We start from the raw sequence: 23,486 nt of genomic DNA, 5'->3' as shown, positions 1-23,486 counted from the left end.
ACTGTCGTCATCCATGCCCCTTGTGCTGTTGTGCAGATTCCATGGTGTGATGGGTGTGGACCATGAGAAGTATGATTTCTCTTCTTGAGATTGTCAGCAATGCCTCCTGCACCATCAACGTTTGGCACCCTTGGCCAAGGTCATCTATGACTACAGTCCATGCCACTACTGCCACCAGAAGACTGTTGGAGAAACTCTGGCGTAACTGCTGCAGAACATCATCCCTGCATCTACTGGTGTGGCCAAGGCTATGGGCAAGGTCATCCCTGAGCCAGATGAGAGGCTTACAGGTATGGCCTTCTGTGTTCCCACCCATAAGAGCCATGTTGGTCATGGCTCTCGTCTGCCTTCTGCAGAAAGCTGCGAAATGTGATGGTATGAGAAGATGGTGAAGCAGGTATTGGAGGGCCCCCTCAAGGGCATCCTGAGCTACACTGAGGATGAAGTTGTCTCCTCTGACTTTAAGAGTGGCACCTGCGGTCTTCTACCTTCAATGCCAGGACTGGCATTACCTTCAATGGCCACTTTGTCAGGCTCCTTTCCTGGGATGAATTTGGCAGCAGCAACAGGGTGGTGGACCTTATGGTCCACATGGCCTCCAAGGAGTAAGACCTCCAGACCACCAGCTCCACCAATAGCACGAGAGGAAGAGTGAGCCCCCAGCTGCTGGGGAGTCATTGCCCCACTCAGGCTCCCCAAAGTCAGTTTCCATTCCAGACTCCTGGAGGAAGGACAGGGGCTTAGGGAGCTCCAGCTTGTCATGCACCATCAATGAAGTATACCGTCCCCAGCCAAAACAAAAAGGTCACATAACTTAACATGGGCAAGAGTCCTCTCACATGATTCATGGTATTGAGCATTAGGTTAGTAGAACAGAAGAGTGGTCCAGTTTCTAAAGTTTCTAATCATGTGTATACTGATAAAAGTGAAATCATTACAGTTGGTCATTAGTTGATGTGATGCTATGGTGTCTTTTGATGGAAGTGCTGCCATAAACCTTTCCCTCTGGCCAATCCCCAAGACCAGGCTGCTCCAGAGGGACTTTTGAGAAGAATAAGACTCCAAAGACATTGAGAATCCCCCAGTCCAAAGGAGCCCTCCTTAGCTCAAGGTTGCCTAGAACTCCAGCCCTCTTCTCCCAGGCGTTATGGGGCTGATGTTCCTGGGAGTGTCCGTGTCACAGTGTGAGTAGCTATGCACCTAGTGGGACTGTGTTGCACCTGTTCCTGAGAGCAGGTGTGATAGGAAACAGCAGGACGAAGGGCGGCACGCAGGCACGTGGTGGTGAGAAGGCACTGGCACATCCCTCCCACCTGCAGGTTGGGCTTGCTGTAGGAGAGGCATGGTCTCCAGAGGACCCCTCCCTTCACCAGTGTGCGGAATACTCGGTCAGTCCTGAATATTACAGCCACACCCTAGCCAGGGCCCCTGCCACCTGAGGCAGAGGCTGAGTGTGTGAGGATGGAGTTCCCATAGCCTGCTGGCAAACTCTTTGAGAGCATACACATCCTAAGAGCAAAGGAAAAGAATTCACGCCAAAATCCATGCTAGCCTATGTCCCTCTCTTCTCAAAACTGCTTTGGGAGCTTTAGTTCTTGGAGAAACCACACTTTTCGGATCCAATTTCAAGACTTTCCACATGTCCCTTGTAAATGAGGATGTGCACTTCTTGAGCCTGAACAGTTTGTAAAAAGGCCACTGAACAGTTGGTCATTCCAGGGACAGTGTCAGAAAAGCAGGTGGTCTTCCTGGGAAGCCAAGGGGTGGCACACCCCTGCAGGGGTTCATTCTATGCATGGCACATTTAAGTCAAAGCTCTCCACACACAGGGTTCAAAAGAACAAGCTCTGGGATATTTTGCAGACCAGCAAAGGGTTCCCATGATGTGGGCAACTCTCACTCACATCCTTGGAGGCATCAGCAGGGCTGGCTGGGATGCAGGCTGCAGCTTGTGCTGGAAGTGATATTCACTCTCAGAAGGAAACCTGGACCACTTCTCCCTTTGAGAATGTTGGAGTGTGGTGGAAAGAGCTGGATGTCCAGAGTCATGAGACCTTCTGGGTACAACCCTATGGTCGTATCTTCATCTCAGAGCAAATGCAAATGCCTTGTGGTGCCTACCACCCTGGAGGGTATGAGGATCAGAGGATGTGCTTTGGAAACACCTTGAAACTGTATAGAGCTTTTTGGATATAAGTTTGATACTGCCTGATCTCCCAGTGGCCCTTTGGGAGGAAATGGGATCACTGTTGAACCCAATGCAACTCTCAGAGAAGTCAAGACACAGGGTAAATTGGTTGTAGAGGCCCCTCGTGCCTGTCCCACACATCACAGATGCAATCCTTTTTTCGGGTTGCATGAGGCAGGTCTCCATGGCTTCCAAAACAATGAATCCTCCAAGGTCAAATATATTTTTAAAGTTCTCATCAGAGTTCCTTGAGAAAGGGAACTTTGTTTTCAGTGTCTCTTTTTGCAGAGGATAAATAATACTACTGATAAAATTGCTGGTTCTGTGGGTAGACCTGTGATGCTGGGTTCACATGACCTTGCAGGCCTTTGAGTCGCTGGAAGCTGTTGCCTTCCAGAGGGACTCCTGCACCCCAGGGCTGTGCAGGAGGAAAGAGGGAGCCCATGGGAGCGGGGTCACATTGTGAAGGGCCAGCCAACCCCTCGGACGGTCCTGGCTCCCCCGAAGACACATGACAACGCTCCTTATAAATAGGCTCCTCCAACTCAGGCGGTTGACAGTTTCAAGAAATCCGTTAGAAGAAACAGGCAGAGTTGTGATGCTGGCAAAGTTCTAGGGCTTTTTTTTATTCTTCTTCCCTGTTTTAACTGTTAAAATTTATCTCCGACATTGCACAAACGAATGAAATCAACAGCCTCTTATCAGATCCCAAATCTGTCAGCCAATGTCTACCAGCCACTTGGAGCCAAAAGCCTCTTAGCACATGTGTGACTTGAGCTGAGAAGGGACCGGGACAGGAGCGCAGGCAGCTTTGTTCTGGCACCCTCGTTCCTAAACATTTGCTCATTTAGAGCCCAGGAGGCAGCCGTGCCTCCACTGCCTCTGATCTCAGTTCTGTGGGCTTCCAGACAGGGTTCAAGCACCTCCCTGACAAGGCTTCGTCTCTTTCTTCAGTCATCAACCACCACCCATGGCCGTAGGGGCCAGTGGCCAAATTCTATGCCATCCTCCTAGCCTTTCATGCATGCCCAGGTCTCCATGGGGTGGGAAAAGTTAGAGGTACTGCTGTGAACCCACAGTTGCCTTAAATGGCTTGGGCTGAACAGGTAGAGAAAGAAGCCCAGCCATCCCTGGGGCACGGTCACCCTGGCACCCACCTTGGGCTGAGCACTTTCATGACTGGAAGCTTTGGAGAGCAAGTCCTTGAGGAGTACCTCTGGCTGGGCTGGCTCCAGGAGTTTCTGATCCTGGACAGATCCCAGGGTGCATCTCTCCAAGACATGTCTGTTCCCATGACATCAGGAGGAAAAAGACATAAGACTTAACGTAAGTTTCCCTAGAGTTCATCTGGGTTAATCTATCTATGTATTCCTGGGGTCAGCACATGAAAACTACCAATATTAATAACTACCACACATGGGGCATCTCCCATGTGTCCGGCACTTTTTATACAAGCATAGCTGATTTTATTGCACTTCGCTTTATTGCACTTTGCCGAGATTGCATTTTTTACAAACTGAAGGTTTATGGCAACACGGCATTGAGCAAGTCTATAGGTGCTCACTTCCTGTCTCTGTGTCACACTTTGGTAGTTTTTGCAATATTTCAACCTTTTTCATTGTTATTATATCTGTTATGCTCATCTACAATCAGTGATCTTTGGTGTTACTACTGTAATTATTTTTGGGCACGATAAACCACACCCATATAAGACAATGAATTAATCAATTAATGTTGTGTGTGTTCTGACTGCTCCACTGAGGCTGTTCCACCTGTCTCTCTCTCTCTCTCCCCTTAAGCCTCGCTATTCCCTAAGACACAACAATATTGAAATTGAAATTAGGCTAATTAATAACCCTACAATGGCCTCTAAGTATTCAAGTGAAAGAGAAAGTGGTATGTCTCTCAACTTTAATCAAAAGCTAGAAATGATTAAGCTTAGTGAGGAAGGCATGTTGAAAGCCAAGAGAGGCTGAAACCTCGCCCTCTTGTGCCAAACAGCCAGGCTGCGAATATTAAGAAAAAGTTCTTGAAAAAAATGAAAAGTGCTACTGCAGTGAACATACGAGTGATAAGAAAGTGAAACAGCCTTATGGCTGATATGGAGAAAGTTTGCATGGTGTGGATAGAAGATCAAACCAACCACAACATCCCCTTAAGCCAAAGCCTAATCCAGAGCAAGGCCCTAACTCTTTGGTTCTATTAAGGCTGACAGAGGTGAGGAAGCTGCAGAAGAGAAGTTGGAACCTAGTAGAGGTTGGTTCATGAGGTTTAAGGAAAGAAGCCGTCTCCGTAAAATCAAGTGCAAGATGAGGCAGCAAGCACTCCAGATCTTGCTAAGACCATTGATATGAAGGTCACTACACTAAACAACAGATTTTTCATGTAGATGAAAGAGCCTTCTATTGGAAGAAAATGCCACCTAGACTTTCATAGCTAGAAAGAAGAAGTCAATGCCTGGCTTCAGAGCTTCAAAGGACAAGCTGACTGTCTTGTCAGGGGCTAATGCAGCTGGTGACTTGAAGTTGAAGCCAGTCCTCACGTACCATTCAAAAATCCTAGAGCACTTAAACTTATGCTAAATCTACTCTGCCTGTGCTTTATAAATGGAACAACAAAGCCTGGATGTCAGTACATCTGTTTACATCATGATTTACTGAATATTTTAAACCCACTGTTGAGATCCTCTGCTCAGAAAAAAAAAAAAAAAAAGATTTTTTCAAAATATGACTGCTCATTGAGCACCGGGTCACCCAAGAGCTCTGACGGAGATGTACAAGGAGACGAATGTTTCCATGTCTGTTAACATCCATTTTGAAGCCCAGGAATCAAGGAATCATTTTGACTTTCAATTCTTATTATTTAAAAAATACAGTTTGTAAGGCTGTAGCTTCCACAGATAGTGATTCCTCTGATGGATCTCGACAAAAGAAATTAAACTCTTCTGAAAAGAATTCACTATTCTGGGTGCCATTAAGAACATTCATGATTCATCGGAAGAGGTCAAATACCAACACTAACAGGAGTCTGGAAGAAGTTGATTCCAACCCCGGATGACTTTGAGAGGCTCAATTGAGACTTGGTCAATTTACCAGAGGAAGTCACTGCAGATGTGGTGGAAATAGCAATAGAACTATAATGAAAAGTGGAGCCCGAAGATGTGACTGAATTGCTGCAATCTCAGGATAAAGTTTAAGTAGGTGAGGAGTTGCTTTACATGGATGGGCAAAGAAAGTGGTTTCTTGAGACAGAATCTACTCCTGGTGAAGATGCCGTGAACATTGTCGAAATGACAACAAAGGATTTAGAATGTTACGTCGACTCAGTTGAGAAGGCAGTGGCAGGGCTTGAGAGGATGGACTCCAATTTGGAAAGAAGTTCTACTGTGGGTGAAATGCTGTCAAACAGCATCATGTGCTACAGAGACATCTTTCGTGAAAGGAAGAGTCAATTGCCGAGGCAAACTTCATTGTTGTCTTATTTTAAGAAATTGCCACAGCCACCCCCACCTTTGGCAACCACTACTCTGATCAGTTAGCAGCCATCCACAGTGAAGCAAGACCCTCCACCAGCAAAAAGATTATGACTCACTGAAGGCTCAGATGAAGTCTAAGACGTCACCACCTGGCACATCCTTGTCCTCACCCTTAGCAGGCTGAGCCCTGAGGCTGCCTCTGAGGGAAACACAAGACACTGGCGTGTCTGTGCCACTGGCACCCCACATCAGACAGACAGACAGCCCGATGGGAGGTACAGACCTGATGGGGAGGCCTGGTGGACAGCACAGGAGAGCTCAGCCAGCCACATTCATTGAGCCCTTATTGCAATCCCAGCCCCATGCTACACCCTGAAAGGGTTTGAGAAGAGACAGAGGTGGATGATCCAGACTTAGCCTCCTGAAGAATGAATAAGCAAGTGCTTACCTGTGTTTTAAGGGTCCCCAGGATCTGTCTTAATTAAGGATGATAAGGTACACAGACACAAAAACGACTGTCATGAAGGAAGAAGTCTATTCTGCTCATACATCCCTAGAAACAGGAGGCCCAGCACAGCACACAGGGCCTCAAAAGAGACACTGGGCCAGTCAGGAACAGAGGGAGAGGGAGGAACTGTGGGCTGGAGCCTTTGTATCGTTTCCACAGGAGGAGTGGGTGAGTGGAGCACACAGGCTTAGGATCATCTAGTTTAACTGATTTCAGGGCTCTGGGGCAGATGACTATCCCTAATGTCTGGGAATGGCCCTGGGGTGACTAAGGCAGGTGGATGGATAGTCGCCCTCATGTGAGAGCCTGATAGGGAAGGTGGTTGGGTGTGGGCTCTGGATTGGTGGGTTTTCATATGAAGGTGAACTCGCAGAGGAGTTTGCTATCTCTAGGAATTAGCTAGGCCTGGGAGGGGCAGTTCCCCCAGGGTCAGCAAGGCCCCAGATGTCAAAGTATCATGAATGAATACAGAAAAGTAAAGACATAAGTAATACACCCAATGCCTGAGGACCCATCAAGGCAGAGGTCTGCCCTGGGCAGTGGACGTCCCAGAAAGCACAATAATGTTCATTTATTTAAAACATAGGTCATATCCAGGATAATGCATTTTTGGGATGTTAAACCAGAAAGAATATGCTTCTATCAACATCCATCACCACTGCCTCCCTTCATTAGTGTTGCTACCAGGTAGAGAGGGGCCTTTAGTGCCAGGGCTATGACAGCCCCTGCATGGCTGGCCCTACCCTGCCTGCCTCTGCAACCACATCCTTGCCAGACCCTTTTGCTGCAATCCCTCTAGCACACCAGGCTCCTCCTGGCCCCGGGGCCTTTGCACCTGCTGTGCCCGTGCCCAGCGGATCCCTCAGCTTACCCACCACAGCCCCTGGCCTGGGAAACTTTTACTCCTGCTTCAGGTCTCAGCTTGAAATCAGGCCCATCTTCCCTGACTGTCACCCCCTGAACATGAGTTTCCCAGGGCTGCTCTAAGCTTCTCTCACAATTACTCTTTCACTGGTTCATGTACCACTGAAGTGTTGATCTCTCTGAGCCAGATTTCTCTGCTGTAGTCCAGAAATCAAATTTTCCTGTAGACTCTATCTCTATACATCAAACACATCAGGGTTCTCTAGAGAAACAGAACCAATGTTGTGTGTGTGTGTGTGTGTGTGTGTAAATACCTTTATTACAAGAAACTGGTTCACATGACTGTGGAGGCTGAGAAGTTCCAGATCTGTGGTCAGCCAGCAGGAGACCCAGGAGAGCCATTAGTGTAGCTCCAGTCCAGGGACAGAAGAAGACCCGTGTCCCAGCTCAGAGGTCAGGCATGAGGAAGAGTTCCCTCTCACTCAGCCTTTTGGTTCTACTCAGGTCTTCAGTTAATTGGACCAGGCCCACACACACTGGGGAGGGCCCTCCGCTTTCTTCGGTCCACTGATTCCAGTGTTAACCTCATCCAAAACTTCCCTCACAGACATGCCCAGAATAATGTTTGACCCAATACCTGGGCACCCAGTGGCCCAGCCAAGATGGCACGTTAAATTGTCCATCACACTATCTTAATGTTTCACAGTCTACTGGAGCTCAAAATGTCAGATATTGACCTCAGTACCTTCCCCCTCTCTCAGCACAAACCCCTGCATTTTCTGCCGTCTACAACACCTCTCAGCCCCACGCCCACCTCCCAGCCCCACCAGGCCAGGCTTGCTTTGGGTCTCATGACATCCTGAGTTCCAGCCACTGCCTGTGTGGCCTCAGGCCAGCAGCATTTCCTCCCTGCACTTTTCCCCACATGACACCTTTCTGTCTGTCTGATGTCAGGCTCTTGCCTAAAATCTGTCTGAGGTCTCCTCTCAGGGTGAAATTTCCACTCATGAGCCTGTCATGGAGGCCTGCCTAACAGAGCCCTGACCTGCCCCTTCAGGCCCATTTTATCTGCCACCCCAGGAGCCACCTGCAGTTCTGAACACCTCTGGCCTCTTTATACCTCTGTACTGCACCTTCCTTCCCCTCTCTCTGCCTCCTCCCTCCAGTAACCCCAGTCCCACCAAATACTCACAGCCATCTGAACTGAACTCACCACACACACACCACAGGTGTTCCTTCTCCTTCCCCTTAACCCCTTTTCAAATATTACCACCCTTCATAGCATGAATGGATTCCATCGCATGCACCTGCACACATCCACAAGCACATTCACAGAGCACTGCATGGAGCTACCTGCACCGATGGCTCGGGAGGCCCCCCTACTGGTTTTGACTTATGATGTAGTTTATGTCCTTGGGTGGAGGACACTTTGCAAAAGACACAGCCTCCATTCCTGCACACCCAGCCACCACCACGAGGCTAGGAGGGTGGGGAACAGGGGATCCTCATTCTTTATTCATAGCCTCATGAACTTCAGGGAGCACAGGCAGCATTATCCCCAGGAGGGTTGCTCCTTCTTTCCTTCTTTCCTTCCTTCCTTCCTTCCTTCCTTCCTTCCTTCCTTCCTTCCTTCTTTCCCTCCCTCCCTCCCTCCTTCCTTCCTTCCCTCCTTCCTTCAACAAACATATTCGGAAAGTGTATTTCATGACTAGCACTGTGCCAAACACTGGAGATAATAAAGAAAAATAGCACTGGGCCTATAATTGGGAGTCCAGATATATGATACAGAAATGCAACTGACAATGCAAGGAGCAAGAGGACTCGCACAGTGGTGCATGGCAGCTTGCTGTCATTTTCTGGGCACAGAAAGCGCTGATGGAAGGGAAGGAGAAGGGGAAAAAGGAAGGATGACAGGACGGAAGGAGGGAAAGAAGGAAGAGCAAACAAGAAAGGACAGGAGGAAGGGAGGAAGCCTTCTGCAAAAAAATTAAAATCAAATTTTTGACATTCTTTTTATTTGCCTTTTTTGAAACAAAATGACACTTGCCAGACACCAGCTTCCTGGCCTATGTCCTGGCCCCTGGTATCTGGATGACAGCAGCGTGATCCTCCTGTGAGGTCCTTCCTTGCCCTCTGATCTGAGTTCCTGAAAGCAGAGAGCCACTCAGGAACTGCTGTCCCTCAGCCCAGCTGGCTGGTGACGGGCTTTTGAAGACTCTGCGCTCTCTCCTGCTGGAAGAGCTCCCCAGGGTCGACCAGGAGCCAGGTGATCACTTTCAGCCTCTGTGAGCTACTGGAGATCACCAAACCTTCCAATACCTCGGGCAGGTGCCAGGGCCTTTAAGGAGGCTTTCTGCTCTGTGGGGATGTTCTGCAGGCTCCAGTATTCTGGCAAGCATCAGCTTATTCTGGGCTTAGTCTTCTTGCTCTATCACTCCTGCCTCTGTTTTGCTTCGTTTTGGTGATGCCCTGTTTCCATCTTATGACGAGGGCCTCTACAATCTAAGCTCTGCACAAACCCCAGGGGTTGTTAGGGGCATTAGAGAAGGGCTGTGTGTTGGCCACTTGGTTGGATTTTACATCCCTTGGACTTGAATACTTATAATTTAAATTTGAGTCTCTGTCAGTGTAACTCTTATATATTTTCTTTTTTAAAATTTCTTTCCCCAAAGTCTAGGGTATATGTATATATGCTCAGCACCATGAATCTGTTCTAAAATTTTCCTTTCTGCCAAGATTCTTACACAATTCATCTTCAGAGATCAACAATAAATCCAAATCAGAGTTCCCTTTATTGCTTCCTCTTTTTGCTTTTCATTTTATAACTAATTCAATATTTATTTGGAAATATTGTGAAATATTTAAAATGTACACAATGCATATAGAATAATTCAATGAACTACTGTATATCCACCATCCAACGGAAGAAATAAAACATTATCAGTACGTTGGAAGCCCTCAGGGTACCCAGTCCCAGGCTGCACACTGACCTCCCCACAAGCAGATAAACACCACCACGAAATTAGGGTTTATAATCATTATACTTTTCTTTATACCTTTAGTACATATGCTTGTATCTCTAAGTAGTATGTAGTGTATTAAGTTGTTCTTGCTTTGATATAAAGAAATTCCCGAGACCGGATAATTTATAAGAAAAACAGGTTAATTGTCTCATGGTCCTGCAGGCTATACAGGAAGCACAGTGCCAACATCTGCTTCTGGGGAGGCCTTGGGAAGCTTACAATCATGGCAGCAGACAAAGAGGGAGCAAGAGTGGCAGGGGAGGTGCCACACTTTTTAAACAACCAGATCTCATGAGAACTTGCTCGCTAGCCTAAGAACAGCATCAAACCATGAGGGATCTATCCCCATGACCAAAACACCTCCCACCAGGCCCTACCTCCAGCACTGGGGATTACATTTCAACAAGAGATGTCAGTGGGGACAAATATCCAAACAATATCATTGAGCCTCTGCCCCCTCCCCATGTCCTTACATTGCAAGATACAATCAGGACTTCTCAATTGTCCCCCAAAATCTTAACTCATTCCAGCATTAACTCAAAAGTCCCAAGTCCAAAGTCTCATCTAGAATGAGTTCCTTTCACCTACGAGCCTATACAAGCAAAACGAGTTATTTACTTCCAAGATACAATGAGGGTACAGACATTAGGTAAATACTCCCATCCCAAAAGGGAGAAATCAGACAAAAGAAAGGAGCTACAGGCCCCATGCAAGTTTAGACCTACCAGGGCAGTCACTAAGTCTTAAAGCTTCAAAATAATCTCTTTTGACTGCATGTCCCACATTCTGGGCACGTGGTATGCTGGGTGGTCTCCCAAGGCCTTGAGGAGCTTTGACCCTGTGGCTTTGCTGGGTTCAGCCCCTGAAGCTGCTCTCACAGCTTATTGAGTGCCTGCCACTTTTCCATGTGCAGGATGCAAGCTGCTGGTGGATCTACCATTCTGGCATCTGAAGGATGGTGACCCTCCTTCTCACAGCTCCACTAGGCAGTGCCCCACTGGGGACTCTGTGTGGGGGCTCCAATCCCACAATTCTCCTCTGCACTGCCCTAGTAGAGTATCTCCATGAGGGCTCTGCCCCTGCAGCAGGCTTCTGCCTCAGCATTCAGGCTTTCCCATACATCCTCTGAAATCTAGGCAGAGGCTGCCAAGCCTCCTTCACTCTTGAACTCTGTGTGTCTGCAGGCTTAAAACCCCATGGAAGCTGCCAAGGTTTATGGCTTGCATTCTCCAAAGTGGCAGCCCAAGCTGTACCTGGGGTCCTCTGAGCTGAGGCTGAAGCTGGGGTGGCCTGAATGTGAGAAGCAGTGTACTGAGGCTGCACAGGGCAGAGGGGCCTTGGACCTGGCCCACAAAGCCATTCAGTCCTCCTGGGCCTCTGGGCCTGTGATGGGAGGAGCTGTCTCAGAGACTTCTGAAAAGCCCTAGAGGCCTTTTTCCTATTGTCTTGGATATTAGCACTTGGCTCCCTTTTAGTTATGCAAATGTCTCTAGCAAGTGGTTTCTCCGCAGCCTGCTTGAGTTCCTCCCCTGAAAACAGGCTTTTCTTTTGTACCATATGTCCAGGTGGCAAATTTTCCAAATTTTTATTCTTTGTTTCCCTAAGTTCCAACTTTAGGGCATTTCTTTGCTCCCACATCTGAGCATAGTTCATTAGAAGCAACCAAGCCACATCTTGAATGCTTTGCTGCTTAGATATTTCTGCCACATACCCAAAATTATCACTCTTAAGTTCAAATTTCCACAGATCCTTGGGGCATAGACATAATGCAGCCAAGTTCTTTGTTAAGGCATAACACTCATGACCTTTGCTCCAGTTCCCAATAAGTTCCTCACTTCAATCTCAGACCTCAGCAGCCTGGACTTCACTGTCTATATCATTATCAGCATTTTGGTCACAACCATTTACCCAGACTCTAAGAAGCAGCAAATTTCCCTCATCTTCCTGTCTTCTTCTGAGTCCTCCAAACTCTTCCAACCTCTGCACGTTACCCAGTTCCAAAGCTACTTCCACATCATCAGGTATCTTAATAGTAATGCCCCACTCCTCAGTACCAATTTTCTGTATTAAGCCATTCTTGCATTGCTATAAATAAATACCTGAGACTGGATAATTTATAAGAAAATAGGCTTAATTGGCTCATGGTTCTTCAGGCTATACAGGAAGCCTACTGCCAACATCTGTTTCTGGGAAGACTTCAGGAAGCTTATGATCATCACAAAAGGCAAAGGGGGAGCAAGAGTGGTGGGGGAGATGCCACACTTTTAAAAAGCCATATCTCATGAGAATTCACTGGCTAGCCTAAGAACAGCATCAAGCCACGAGGGATCCATCCCACTGACCCAAACATCTCCCAGCAGGCCTCACCTCCAGGACTGGGGATTACATTTGGTATTAGTCTGTTTTCATACTGCTATAAGGAACTGCCAGAGACTGGGCAAATTATAAAGGAAAGAGGTTTAATTGACTCACAGTTCAGCATGGCTGGGGAAGCCTCAGGAAACTTACAATCACGGCAGAAGGCAAAGAGGAAGCAGGGCACCTTCTTCACAAGGCAGCAGGAAGCAGAAGTGCAGAGCAAAGGGGGAAGAACCCCTTATAAAACCATCAGATCTTGTGAGAACTCCCTCACTATCACGAGAACAGCAAGGGGGAAACTGTCACCGTGATTCAATTGCCTCCACCTGGTCTCTCCCTTGACACATTGGGATTATGGAGATTGAAATTCAAGATGAGATTTGTGTGAGGACACAAAGCCTGACTAGATCACATTTCAACAAGATATTTAAGTGAGTACAAATATTTAAACTGTATTATGTAATATTGTTTTTTATGTTTTATACTTATTAGAAATAAATCTTGATATACGTATTCTTCTGCAACTTTTCTTACTCAACACATTTTTGAAATTCATGCATGCTAATATATATAACACTAGTGCATGCATTTTCATTGCTGCATACTACCCTCTTATATGACTATATCATGCTTCACGTACATATTACTCTACAGATGAACATTTAAGATGTTTCCAGTTTGCTGTTGGGATTTTGTTTTGTAATTCAAAGAATGTTGCTATAAACATCCTTTGATTGTCTTTGCATTCCTAGGAAAAGCTCAATGTGGTCATGATGTGCTTTTATTTTTATAAGTTACTCTATTTGACTTGAAACTTTACACAGGGACTTGCAGTCATGGGTGGCAGGTGGCCTTTTCCAAGAGTCAGGAACCTCCTTGAAGGGCCATGTATAATTCAAGGGGGGGTGGCATGACCAGCCCGTCATGCCTGTTCCTGGCCCCCAACCCAAACCTCTCTGTGCTCCCGTCCCCATCAAAGACACCCTTCACCCCTAGCCACAGAGCCCTGCTCACATCTGGAACAGCCCTCCCCTCCCCAGCTAGGTCACTGCCTTGTGGCTGTGCCTGCCTCTCCTCCTGTGTCTGTGTCTCAGTCATCTGCTGTAAAGCCCATATTTACCCAGTGTCCATGTTCACATCTCCACCCTGAGGGCAGCTGGAGAACATGTCTCCTACACAGCCAGGTGCTGCCGTGCATGTGCATGTGAAGTCGGGCTGCCTGGGATGCTCCCTCTTTGAAGGCTCTGCAGAGATGACTGGGCTGGGGAAGCAGGTGCTTGCTGGCCATGGAGCCTCATTGCAAGTTGTTCTTGAACACCTGAGCCCTTGCTGGTGCCCACCAGGCACTATGGCTTCCTCTCCAGAATGTGGCTTTGCCTGGGCACAGACAGAACCAGCTTGGGATGCTCTTGGCCAAGGGTATTGGGGGCCCTCTGGCCTTTTGCAACTGATCCAAAGATACCCAGAGCCAACTTACCTCAACCTCACCCTTATGGAAGACTCACCTGCGTGCAGATTGTCCTCACACCCTGTCCTCACAGGGAAAGGCAGATTGAAGCTGCTGAGTCCACCTTGATCACACAGACAGAGCCTGTGCCAGATCTGGCCCTGTCAAGGGGACCAGTGCCTTGTTTTCAACACTCCTTCCTACTTCTACTGTTCCTGCTTCTAAAATAAACAGGACTTGATCACAAAAAAAGAGAGGCAGAGAGAGAGCTTAATTTGGGAGAGACAGAAGTCCAACCTTATTGAGAGGTGATGGGAAACCTGGATGAGAAGTACACATTCTTTAAGTGAACACAAGGATTTGCAAGAATAATAATTTGGCAGAGTGCTATTTTAAGATATTAATATGAGAGAGAGAGAGAGAGAGAGAGAGAAGCTATGTGCTTAATGCTGTAAATAGGGCCTGCAACCAAAGAAACTCACTTACTGATTCTTTATTTTGTAGGAAACCATAATCACTTAGGGAAAGGGAATTCACAGAGCACCTTGAGAAAACCTAAAGGAAGAGAGAAGCATGCAGGCTTAAAAGAAATGCTCCTGCCACTTCTGCCACCGCCCCCCACCAAGCCCAGGCTGCCCCTCAGACAGGTTGATCAACTCCAGGAAGGAAATGGCCACCGTCCAGACGGATGGGGCTACAGGCCCATGCACAGAGTTCCTTTCCTCTGGTGTGATATGGGAGCGACAGTCACCAGGCATCCCAGCTGTATCCTGTGTGTACTGATGTCAAAGACCAAATGGATGCCCCTGTGGCCAACAGTACCTTGTTAAACCCCATGATTGCAGTCCAGTGCTAAGGAAGGGGGGAACCCCCCAGGAACAACCATCATTATGTTTTTTATCTGACTGAATAGAAGTTCAGAGTTAGAAAATGTGAAAAGCTATATATTTTTGCACACCCAGTTTGTGGGCTACGCGCATCATGAAGTGGTAGATTCTACTGTTCTGTCTTGTTAGCCCAAAGCTGTAAAGAAGGCTGTTATTGCAAACTACAGACAACGCACTTGGTAGAAAGCAGCAACATCCTGAATTCTGGTCTTGCAAGGACATACCCAAACAACAGCAGCGACCCACCCACCTCAGGACCCAGTTCTCAGCCTCTGTGTGGCTGGCTTTTAAAGCTAAGAAAAGCCGGTAGGAATGTAGAAATCCAGTGAGAAGAAAGCCATGGACGCTTCTGAGCACCCTGTGAGTAGCTAGGAGCAACATGTTCCCAGGTCCTGAAACTTCCACAGTAATAAGTCTGGCAGCGGTGGTGTCATGCCGGGGATGGAGCATGTGAGCTTGAGACACCTTGTTCCTACTTTCTACAAGGCCATAATAATCATCCTATTAGGCCTCAGCGCATTTCCCACAGGGGCCCTGGTGGGCTTGTGTGGCAGTGACATTTGACACAACCATTATTATTTTTTGGATGCATTTGGAACACGCTGGTAGTTCTATTGTATTAAAGAAACATGGAAATAAATTCGTCTCAGAAAAAAGATCAAACCATGAAGTCACACAGAAAAAGGAATGGACCAGAATGTTCTGTGTTGCGCTTGGTGCTGATTCCTGAGGTTAATAGTTAAATTGTCTTTTAAAGCCATTTTCTTTCTTCTCCCTATTTTTAACTAATTCTATTCAACCATCTAGCTCAGATTCAGGACTGTTAACCTGGAAAAGAGGGGAAATGCAGAGGTCTCCTTGGTAACTATGTCTGAACGCAGGCTGGAGTTGCTACCTCCAGTGGATCTGAGCAGAGTGCTTCTGAATCACTCTTGTTGCTCAGCGCCCAGCAGCTTTGCCTGGGGGCATCAAGAAAGGTTTAGAAAGATGAGCACCAAACACCCCTGTGTTCAGAGGACCATCTATGCCTGGGTGACACAGCCCTGCTTCTCCCTCGGGATTTTAAAATTTGCTCCTATCTGTTGCAAATCTGCCTTTCTCTCTGCTTTATCCTCAAATCTCTACTTAGATCATCAGAAACTTTTTCAGAAATAAAATAGCACCCTTTAACTCAGAAATTCCCACCTGGGAATCTAGCCCAAACAAATGAATCCACAAGATAATAAAAGCTGTATGCACGAAGATGTTCATTGCAGAATTTTTTATACTCATGACAAACAGAGACAGGTTAAATGACAGGAAGATGATTATATGAATTGTGGTATATCCAGGCAATATAGTATTACACTCAACAAAAGTATAACTAACACTATGTGGCAACAGAGAACAACACTTCTTACAATCTTAAGTTTTAAAAGAATACATGATTATAGGAAGTAAAAGATATAGGCCAGGCATGGTGGCTCACGCCTGTAATCCCAGCACTTTGGGAGGCTGAGGTGGGCAGATCACCTGAGGTCAGGAGTTTGAGACCAGCCTGGCCAACATAGCGAAACCCTGTCTCTATTAAAAATACAAAAATTAGCTGGGCCTGGTGGTGGGCGCCTGTAATCCCAGCTACTCGGGAGGCTGAGGTAGGAGAATCACTTGAACCCAGGAGGCGGAGGTTGCACATATATATACACACACACACACACACACACACACACACACACACACACACACAAAGTGCCAGAAAGGAATGCACAAAATAACACTAGTAATGCTAGGTGAGTAGCTGTAAACATGAATTCCCTTCTGATGTATGATTAATAAAATAAATAGCACCCTGAGCTTCTTAAAATATAAACCAAATGTCATAATTATTTAGAAAAATCTAACTATTCTTATGATTTCTTTTTAACTAAGCCTGTTAGGTATGGGGCCAAGTGAGTGAGAAAAGATTGAAAGTTGAGCCTTTTCAAATTTGAAGAAGGATTTCTTTTCACCAAAAGCAGTAAAATTGCTCTTTTTCTTCTACCCTCATTTTGTTTTAGTTTCTCTGAGTTAAATGTTTTTATTATCTATTTTTTTAAAATGCTGCTTTCCATGCAGACTTTACATCTCTAGATAACTATTGTCCAATTAGCCCTCTTATCCTCGCTGCATCAAGCTGGTCCTTCTCTCTCACCACTGCAGGCTCAGAAAATCATTGCATGTTAGCTGGGCATGATGGCCCAAACCTGTAGCCTCAGCTACGGGGGAGGCTGAGATGGGGGGATCACTTGAGCCCAGGATTTCCAGGCTGTAGTGCATGACGATGGTGCCTCTGAATAACCACTGAACTACAGCCTGGGCAACATAGCAAGACCCTGTCTCTTAAACGTTAACTAATCAATTAAAATTAAAAGAAAATCATTGCATGTTAGAACTGTAAAGGATGAGGCCAGGCATGGTGGCTCACACCTGTAATCCCAGCACTTTGGGAGGCTGAGGCGGATGGATCATCTGAGGTTAGGTGTTCGAGACCAGCCTGGTAAACATGGAGAAACCCCGTCTCTACTGAAAACACAAAAATTAGCCAGGTGTGGTGGTGGGCACCAGTAATCCCAGCTACTCAGGAGGCTGAGGCAGGAGAATCACTTGAACCCAGGAGGTGGAGGTTGCAGTGAGCCAAGATCATGCCACGGCACTCCAGCCTGGGCGACAGAGTGAGACTCCAACTCCAAAAACTAAAAATAAAAAGAACTGTAAAGGATGCTAGAATTCTTCTGTTCAAGGTTTCTCAAACTAGGGTCAGTTGGAGATAGGAAGGCATATGGCTTTGTTGTTATGTAGTCCTTCAATTTACTTTGGATTGATAATTTTATAATAGCTATAAGCATAAGGCATTTGCAACGGACTGAATGTCTGTGTACCTCCAAAATTTGTGTGTTAAAATCCTAACCCCCAAGGTGATGGTATTAGGAGGTATTAGGAGGCCTTTGGGAGGTGATTAGGTCATGATGGAAGGGCCCTCATAATGGGATTAATGATCGTGATGGTTGACTTTGGGTGTCAACTTGGCTGAATTGAGGAGTTCTCAGAAAGCTGATAAAGCATCATTCACTCCAAATGCTGCAGCAGGCACTGAGCTATTCCTCTTCTGCGGAAAGGGACACCCAGCTGGTTTCACTTCGGACTAGAGTGTTTCCCAAGGAGACCGGCTTGTGGGTCAATGGACCAAGTGTGGGGAAATCTGCCTTCAATGTGGGCAGGTACCAGCCAACCGACTGAGGGCCTGAATGGAACAAAAAGGCAGAAGAACAGCAAAGTTCTCTCCCTCTCTTTATCAGAGCTGAGACGCCCTTCTTCTCCTGCCCTTGGACATCAGAACTCCAGGTTCTCTAGCCTCTGGACTCTGGAACTCACACTAGCAAGCAATGCCAGCTGGGGAGAGCCACAGGCACCCAACTCCAACCCCTGAGAGTGGCTGCGTGGGCTGAGCCCGGCAAAGCCATGGGGATGCGGCTGCCCAGGGCTGTGGGGGGATCAAACCCCCACCCAGTAAATTCAGATACCAAAATGTAGCGTCAAAGAAGATTTAATGCCTTAAGATTTAATGTCATTTGCCCTGTTAGGTTTTGAACTTACCTGGGATCTGTTATTCTTTTCCTCTTTCCTATTTCTCCCTTTTGGAGTGGAAACGTCTGTCCTGTCCCTGCACCACCAAAGTATTTTGGAAACATATAATTTGTTCGATTTCACATGCTCACGGTGGGAGGGAGGGAAATTTGTCTTAGAATGACTCCTGCCTGGAGTCTCACCCATATCAGATTCAGATGAGTCTGTGGACTTTAGACTTTTAAGTTGATACTGAAATGAGTTAAGAGATTTGGAGCCATTGGGATGGAATGAACGTATTTTGCATGTGAGAAGGACATGAATTTGGGTTGCCAGGGTTGGAGTGGTGGAATGCTATGGTTTGAATGTGTCCCTTCCAAAATTCAGGTGTTGCCAATGTGATAATATTAAGAAGTGGGGCCTTTAAGAAGTGATTAGGATATGAGGGTTCCTTCTTCCTGCTTGGAATTAGGCACCCTTACATTAGGCTTGGTAGAGGAAGTTCATCCCTTTTGCCCTTCAGCCTTCTGCTATGTGAGGACACAATATCCTCACCTCTGGAGTATACAGCAATAAGGCACCAACTTGGAAGCAGTGACTGGATGGTCATTGGACAACTGAATCCACTGGCAACTTGATCTTGAACTTCCTAGCCTCCAGAACTGTGGGAAAATTAATTTCTGTTCTTTATAAATTACCCAGTCTCGGGTATTTCGTTTATTTTTAAAATTTTTTAAACTTTAAATTTTTGTGGGTACATAGTAAGTATATATATTTCTGGGGTACATGAGATGTTTTAATACAGGTATGCAATGCATAATATTCACATCATGAAGAATGGGGTCTCCATTCCCTCAAGCATTTATCCTTCATGTTACAAACATTCCAATTATACTCTTTTAGTTATTTTTAAATGCACCATTAAATTATTGGTCTCAGGTATTTTGTTGTAGCAGCACAAGTGGACTAAGACAATGCATCTGTAAGAAGAGACATGTGAGAGATAATCTCTCTTGGCCATGTGAGGACATAGTGAGAAGTTGGCTGGCTGCAACCTGGAAGCAGGCCCTCACCAGAGCCCAATCATGCTGTCACCCTGATGATCACAGACTTCCAGCCTCTAGAATAGTAAGAAATAAATTTCTGTTGCTCATCAGCCACCTGGTGTATGGTGGTTAGTTTCAGTAGCTTGAACTGATTAAGACAGCATTTATACTTAATTATATAATTACATATATTTAAGCATCACTACAATAGAAATATTCTCATTCAGTTAACACCCAGGAGGGGCAAGAGAATTTTCTTTCTTTATAAGAAGCCAGTCCTTAGTAAGTCTCTACCTGCCTTCATGTGATAAGGACTCTGAGTCTGAGGCAGGAGAATGACTGGGCCCTGCTTCCTCTGCGGTGGGGGACTAAAACCTGTTCGGTATGTGTCTTAGTCTGTTTCGTGCTGCCATGACAGAATACCAGAGACTGGGTAATTTATAAAGAAAAGAAATTTATTTCTCACAGTTCTGCAGGCTGGGAAGTCTAATATCAAGGTGCTGGCATCTAGGGAGAGCCTTCTTGCTATGTCATCCCATGGTTGAAGGCATCACATGGTGGGAGAAAGGGAGAGAGAGGGAGAGAAGGGAAAAGAGCCAGACTTATCCTCTTATCAGGAACCCATTTTTGAGATAACTAACCCACCCCCCCTGAAAATGGCATTAATCCATCCACGAAGGCAGAGCCCTCATGACCTAATCACCTATTAAAGGTCCCACCTTTCAATATCATTGCACTGGGGATTAAGTTTCCAACACATGAACTTTGGGGAACACATTCAAGCCATAGCTATGTACTTAATTATTCCATACAGGATTTAAAAGCTCTGGCTGGCATTGGCCTGTCAGACTCTACATCACAGGTCTGAGAGCTCAGTGGTGGTCATAGCTTCCCCAAACCATCTTTATAGTCATGATCAAATTTGTATATCCCACCCAGAACTGTCCCCTGAGCTCCAGATTTACATTTTGAGGCATGTACTCAACATCTATTCTTGGACATCTCAAACTTATTACACCCAACAAGAGCCTAAGTCCTCCCCTTTTCATTTACAAGGATACCCTCTGATATGGTTTGGCTGTGTCCCCACCCAAATCCCAACTTGAATTGTATCTCTCAGAATTCCCATGTGTTGTGGGAGGGACCCAGGGGGAAGTAACTGAATCATGGGGGTCGGTCTTTCCCATGCTATTCTCGTGATAGTGAATAAGTCTCACAAGATCTGATGGGTTTATCAGGGGTTTCTGCTTTCACTTCTTCCTCATTTTCTCTTGCCACTGCCATGTAAGGAGTAAATTTTGCCTTCCACCATGATTCTGAGGCCTCTCCAACCATGTAAAACTGTAAGTCAAATTAAACCTCTTTTTCTTCCCAGTCTCGGGTACGTCTTTATCAGTGCGAAAACGGACTAATACAGTAAACTGGTACCAGCAGAGTGTGGTGCTGCTGAAAAGATAATCCTAAAATGTGGAAGCGACTTTGGATCTGAGTAATAGGCAAATGGTTGGAACAGTTTGGAGGGCTCAGAAGAAGATAGGAAAATGTGGGAAAGTTTGGAACTCCTAGAGACTTGTTGAATGGCTTTGGCAAAAAAGCTGATAGTGATATGGACAATAAGGTCCAGGCTGAGGTGGTCTCAGATGGAGATGAGGAACTTGTTGGGAACTGGAGCAAATGTGACCCTTGTTATCTTTTAGCAAAGAGACTGGCAGCATTTTGCCCCTGCCCTAGAGATTTGTGGAACTTTGAACTTGAGAGAGATGATTTAGGGTATCTGGCAGAAGAAACTTCTAAGCAGCAAAGCATTCAAAAGGTGACTTGGGTGCTGTTAAAGGCATTCTGTTTTAAAAGGGAAACAGAGCATAAAAGTTCAGAAAACTTGCAGCCTGATGATGCAATAGAAAAGAAAAACCCATTTTCTTAGGAGAAATTCAAGCTGGCTGCAGAAATTTGCATAAGTAGCAAGAAGCCTAATGTTAATCCCCAAGACCATGGGGAAAATGTCTCCAGGGCATGTCAGAGACCTTCAGGACAGCCTCTCCCATCACAGGCCTGGAGGCCCAGGAGGAAAAAGTGGTTTCATGGGCTGGCCCCAGGGTCCCTGTGCTGTGTGCAACCTAGGGACTTGGTGCCCTGTGTCCCAGCCTCTCCAGCTGTGGATTAAAGGGCCCAACGTAGAGCTCAACTTGTGGCTTCAGAGGATGGAAGCCCCAAACCTTGGCAACTTCCATGTGGTGTTGAGCCTGTGGATGCACAGAAGTCAAGAATTGAGGTTTGGGAACCTCTGTCTCGATTTCAGAAGATGTATGGAAACGCCTGGATGCCCAGGCAAAAGTTTGCTGCAGGGGCAGGGCCCTCATGGAGAACTTTGCTAGGGCAGTGCAGAAGGGAAATGTGGGGTTGAAACCCCCACACAGAGTCCCTACTGGGGCATGGCTAGTGGAGCTGTGAGAAGAGGGACACCATCCTCCAGACCCCAGAATGGTAGATCCACCAACAGCTTGCACCATTTGCCTGGAAAAGCTGCAGACACTCAACGCCAGCCTGTGAAAGCAGCCAGGAGGGAGGCTATACCTTGCAAAGCCACAGGGGCGGAGCTGCCCAATACCATGGGAACCCATTTATTGCATCAGAGTGACCTGGATGTGAGACCTGAAGTCAAAGGAGATCATTTTGGAGCTTTAAAATTTGACTGTCCTGCTGGATTTTGAACTTGCATAGGGCGTGTAACTTTGTTTTGGCCAATTTCTCCCATTTGGAATGGCTGTATTTACCAATTAATTGTACCCACATTGTATCTAGGAAGTAACTAGCTTGCTTTTGATTTTACAGGCTCATAGGTGGAAAAGACTTGACTTGTCTCAGATGAGACTTTGGACTGTGGACTTTTGGGTTAATGCTGAAATGAATTAAAACTTTGGGTGACTGATGGGAAGGCATGACTGGTTTTGAAATGTGAGGACATGAGATTTGGAGAGGCCAGGGGTAGAATGATATGGTTTAGCTGTGTCCCCACCCAAATCCTCAACTTGAATTGTATCTTCCAGAATTCCCACATGTTGTGGGAGGGTCCCAGGGGGAGGTAATTGAATCATGGGGCCTGGTCTTTCCCATGCTATTCTCCTGATGGTGAATAAGTCTCACAAGATCTGATGGGTTTATCATGGGTTTCTGCTTTTGCTTCTTCATCATTTTCTCTTGCTGCTGCCATGTAAGAAGTGCCTTTCGCCTCCTCCCATGATTCTGAGGCCTCCCTGGCCATGTGGAACTGTAAGTCCAATTAAACCTCTTTTTCTTCCCAGTCTTGGGTATGTCTTTATCAGCAGCATGAAAACGAACTAACACCCCCTCCTTGGTGAAACCTGAGTCAGGCCCTACTCAGCTCTCTTCTAGATTAGGCCTCATCCTCAGCCTGCCAAGCCCAGATTGGTGAGACTCTCCCCACTCTTGATGCCTAACCAAGTTCCTTTTGGTAATTTTCTGCCCAGTGACCCCTCACCCTGTCTGCTGGCCATAAATCCATGGCTGCCCCTGTTGCATTTGGACTTGAGTTCAGTCTCCTTTCCTATTGCGATAGTCTGGAATAAAGTCTTCCTGGCCTGTTAAACTCTGTCTAGTGTAATTTTTCTTTAACATCACCTCCACTCCCACCCCTAAAACTCATGCACCTCCAGCTTTTTCTGCCAGACACCAAGATCCATGGGCCCTAAAACACAGTTGCCATACTTGATGCCACCCCTCCCTTATTCTTTGCATCCAATCAACCCATCTCAACTCCGTCCTCTTCTCCCTCCCTAGTCCCAGTCACCCTGACCTCCAACCCCCATGACTACAGCCTCCTCCAGCTGGTCTCCCATGTCCACTTTTACCCCCTTGAATCCATTCACACAAAGCAGCAAGACTAAACTGCTTAGATGACAAATCAGACAATGGCTCACTCTTTCTCAAACCTTCCAAGGGCTTCCCATTTCTCTGAGATTGAAATCCAGACTCCTCATCTGGCTGCAAGGCCCTTCTCCCCAGCTTCATTGCATTGCCTCTCCCTGGTCCCTCTGCTCCAGGGGCCACACTGATGGGTCTTCTGTTTCATAATCACCCATCTCTGCCT

At 46.4% G+C, this 23,486-nt stretch overlaps 2 annotated features.

Annotated features, from left to right (window-relative positions):
* Positions 13,186-13,686: an enhancer, noted in NCBI's record as "H3K4me1 hESC enhancer chr6:5804577-5805077 (GRCh37/hg19 assembly coordinates)". NCBI's record gives its function as "activates a minimal SCP1, AML or CMV promoter by ChIP-STARR-seq in naive H9 embryonic stem cells {active_cell/tissue: H9 hESC(naive)}" and the evidence as "EXISTENCE:reporter gene assay evidence [ECO:0000049][PMID:30033119]".
* Positions 13,687-14,187: an enhancer, noted in NCBI's record as "H3K4me1 hESC enhancer chr6:5804076-5804576 (GRCh37/hg19 assembly coordinates)". NCBI's record gives its function as "activates a minimal SCP1, AML or CMV promoter by ChIP-STARR-seq in primed H9 embryonic stem cells {active_cell/tissue: H9 hESC(primed)}" and the evidence as "EXISTENCE:reporter gene assay evidence [ECO:0000049][PMID:30033119]".

Source organism: Homo sapiens, chromosome 6 (assembly GCF_000001405.40).
Source record: "Homo sapiens chromosome 6, GRCh38.p14 Primary Assembly".
NCBI classification, from domain to species: Eukaryota; Metazoa; Chordata; class Mammalia; order Primates; family Hominidae; genus Homo; species Homo sapiens.
This window is presented reverse-complemented; position numbering and strand designations above follow the sequence as displayed.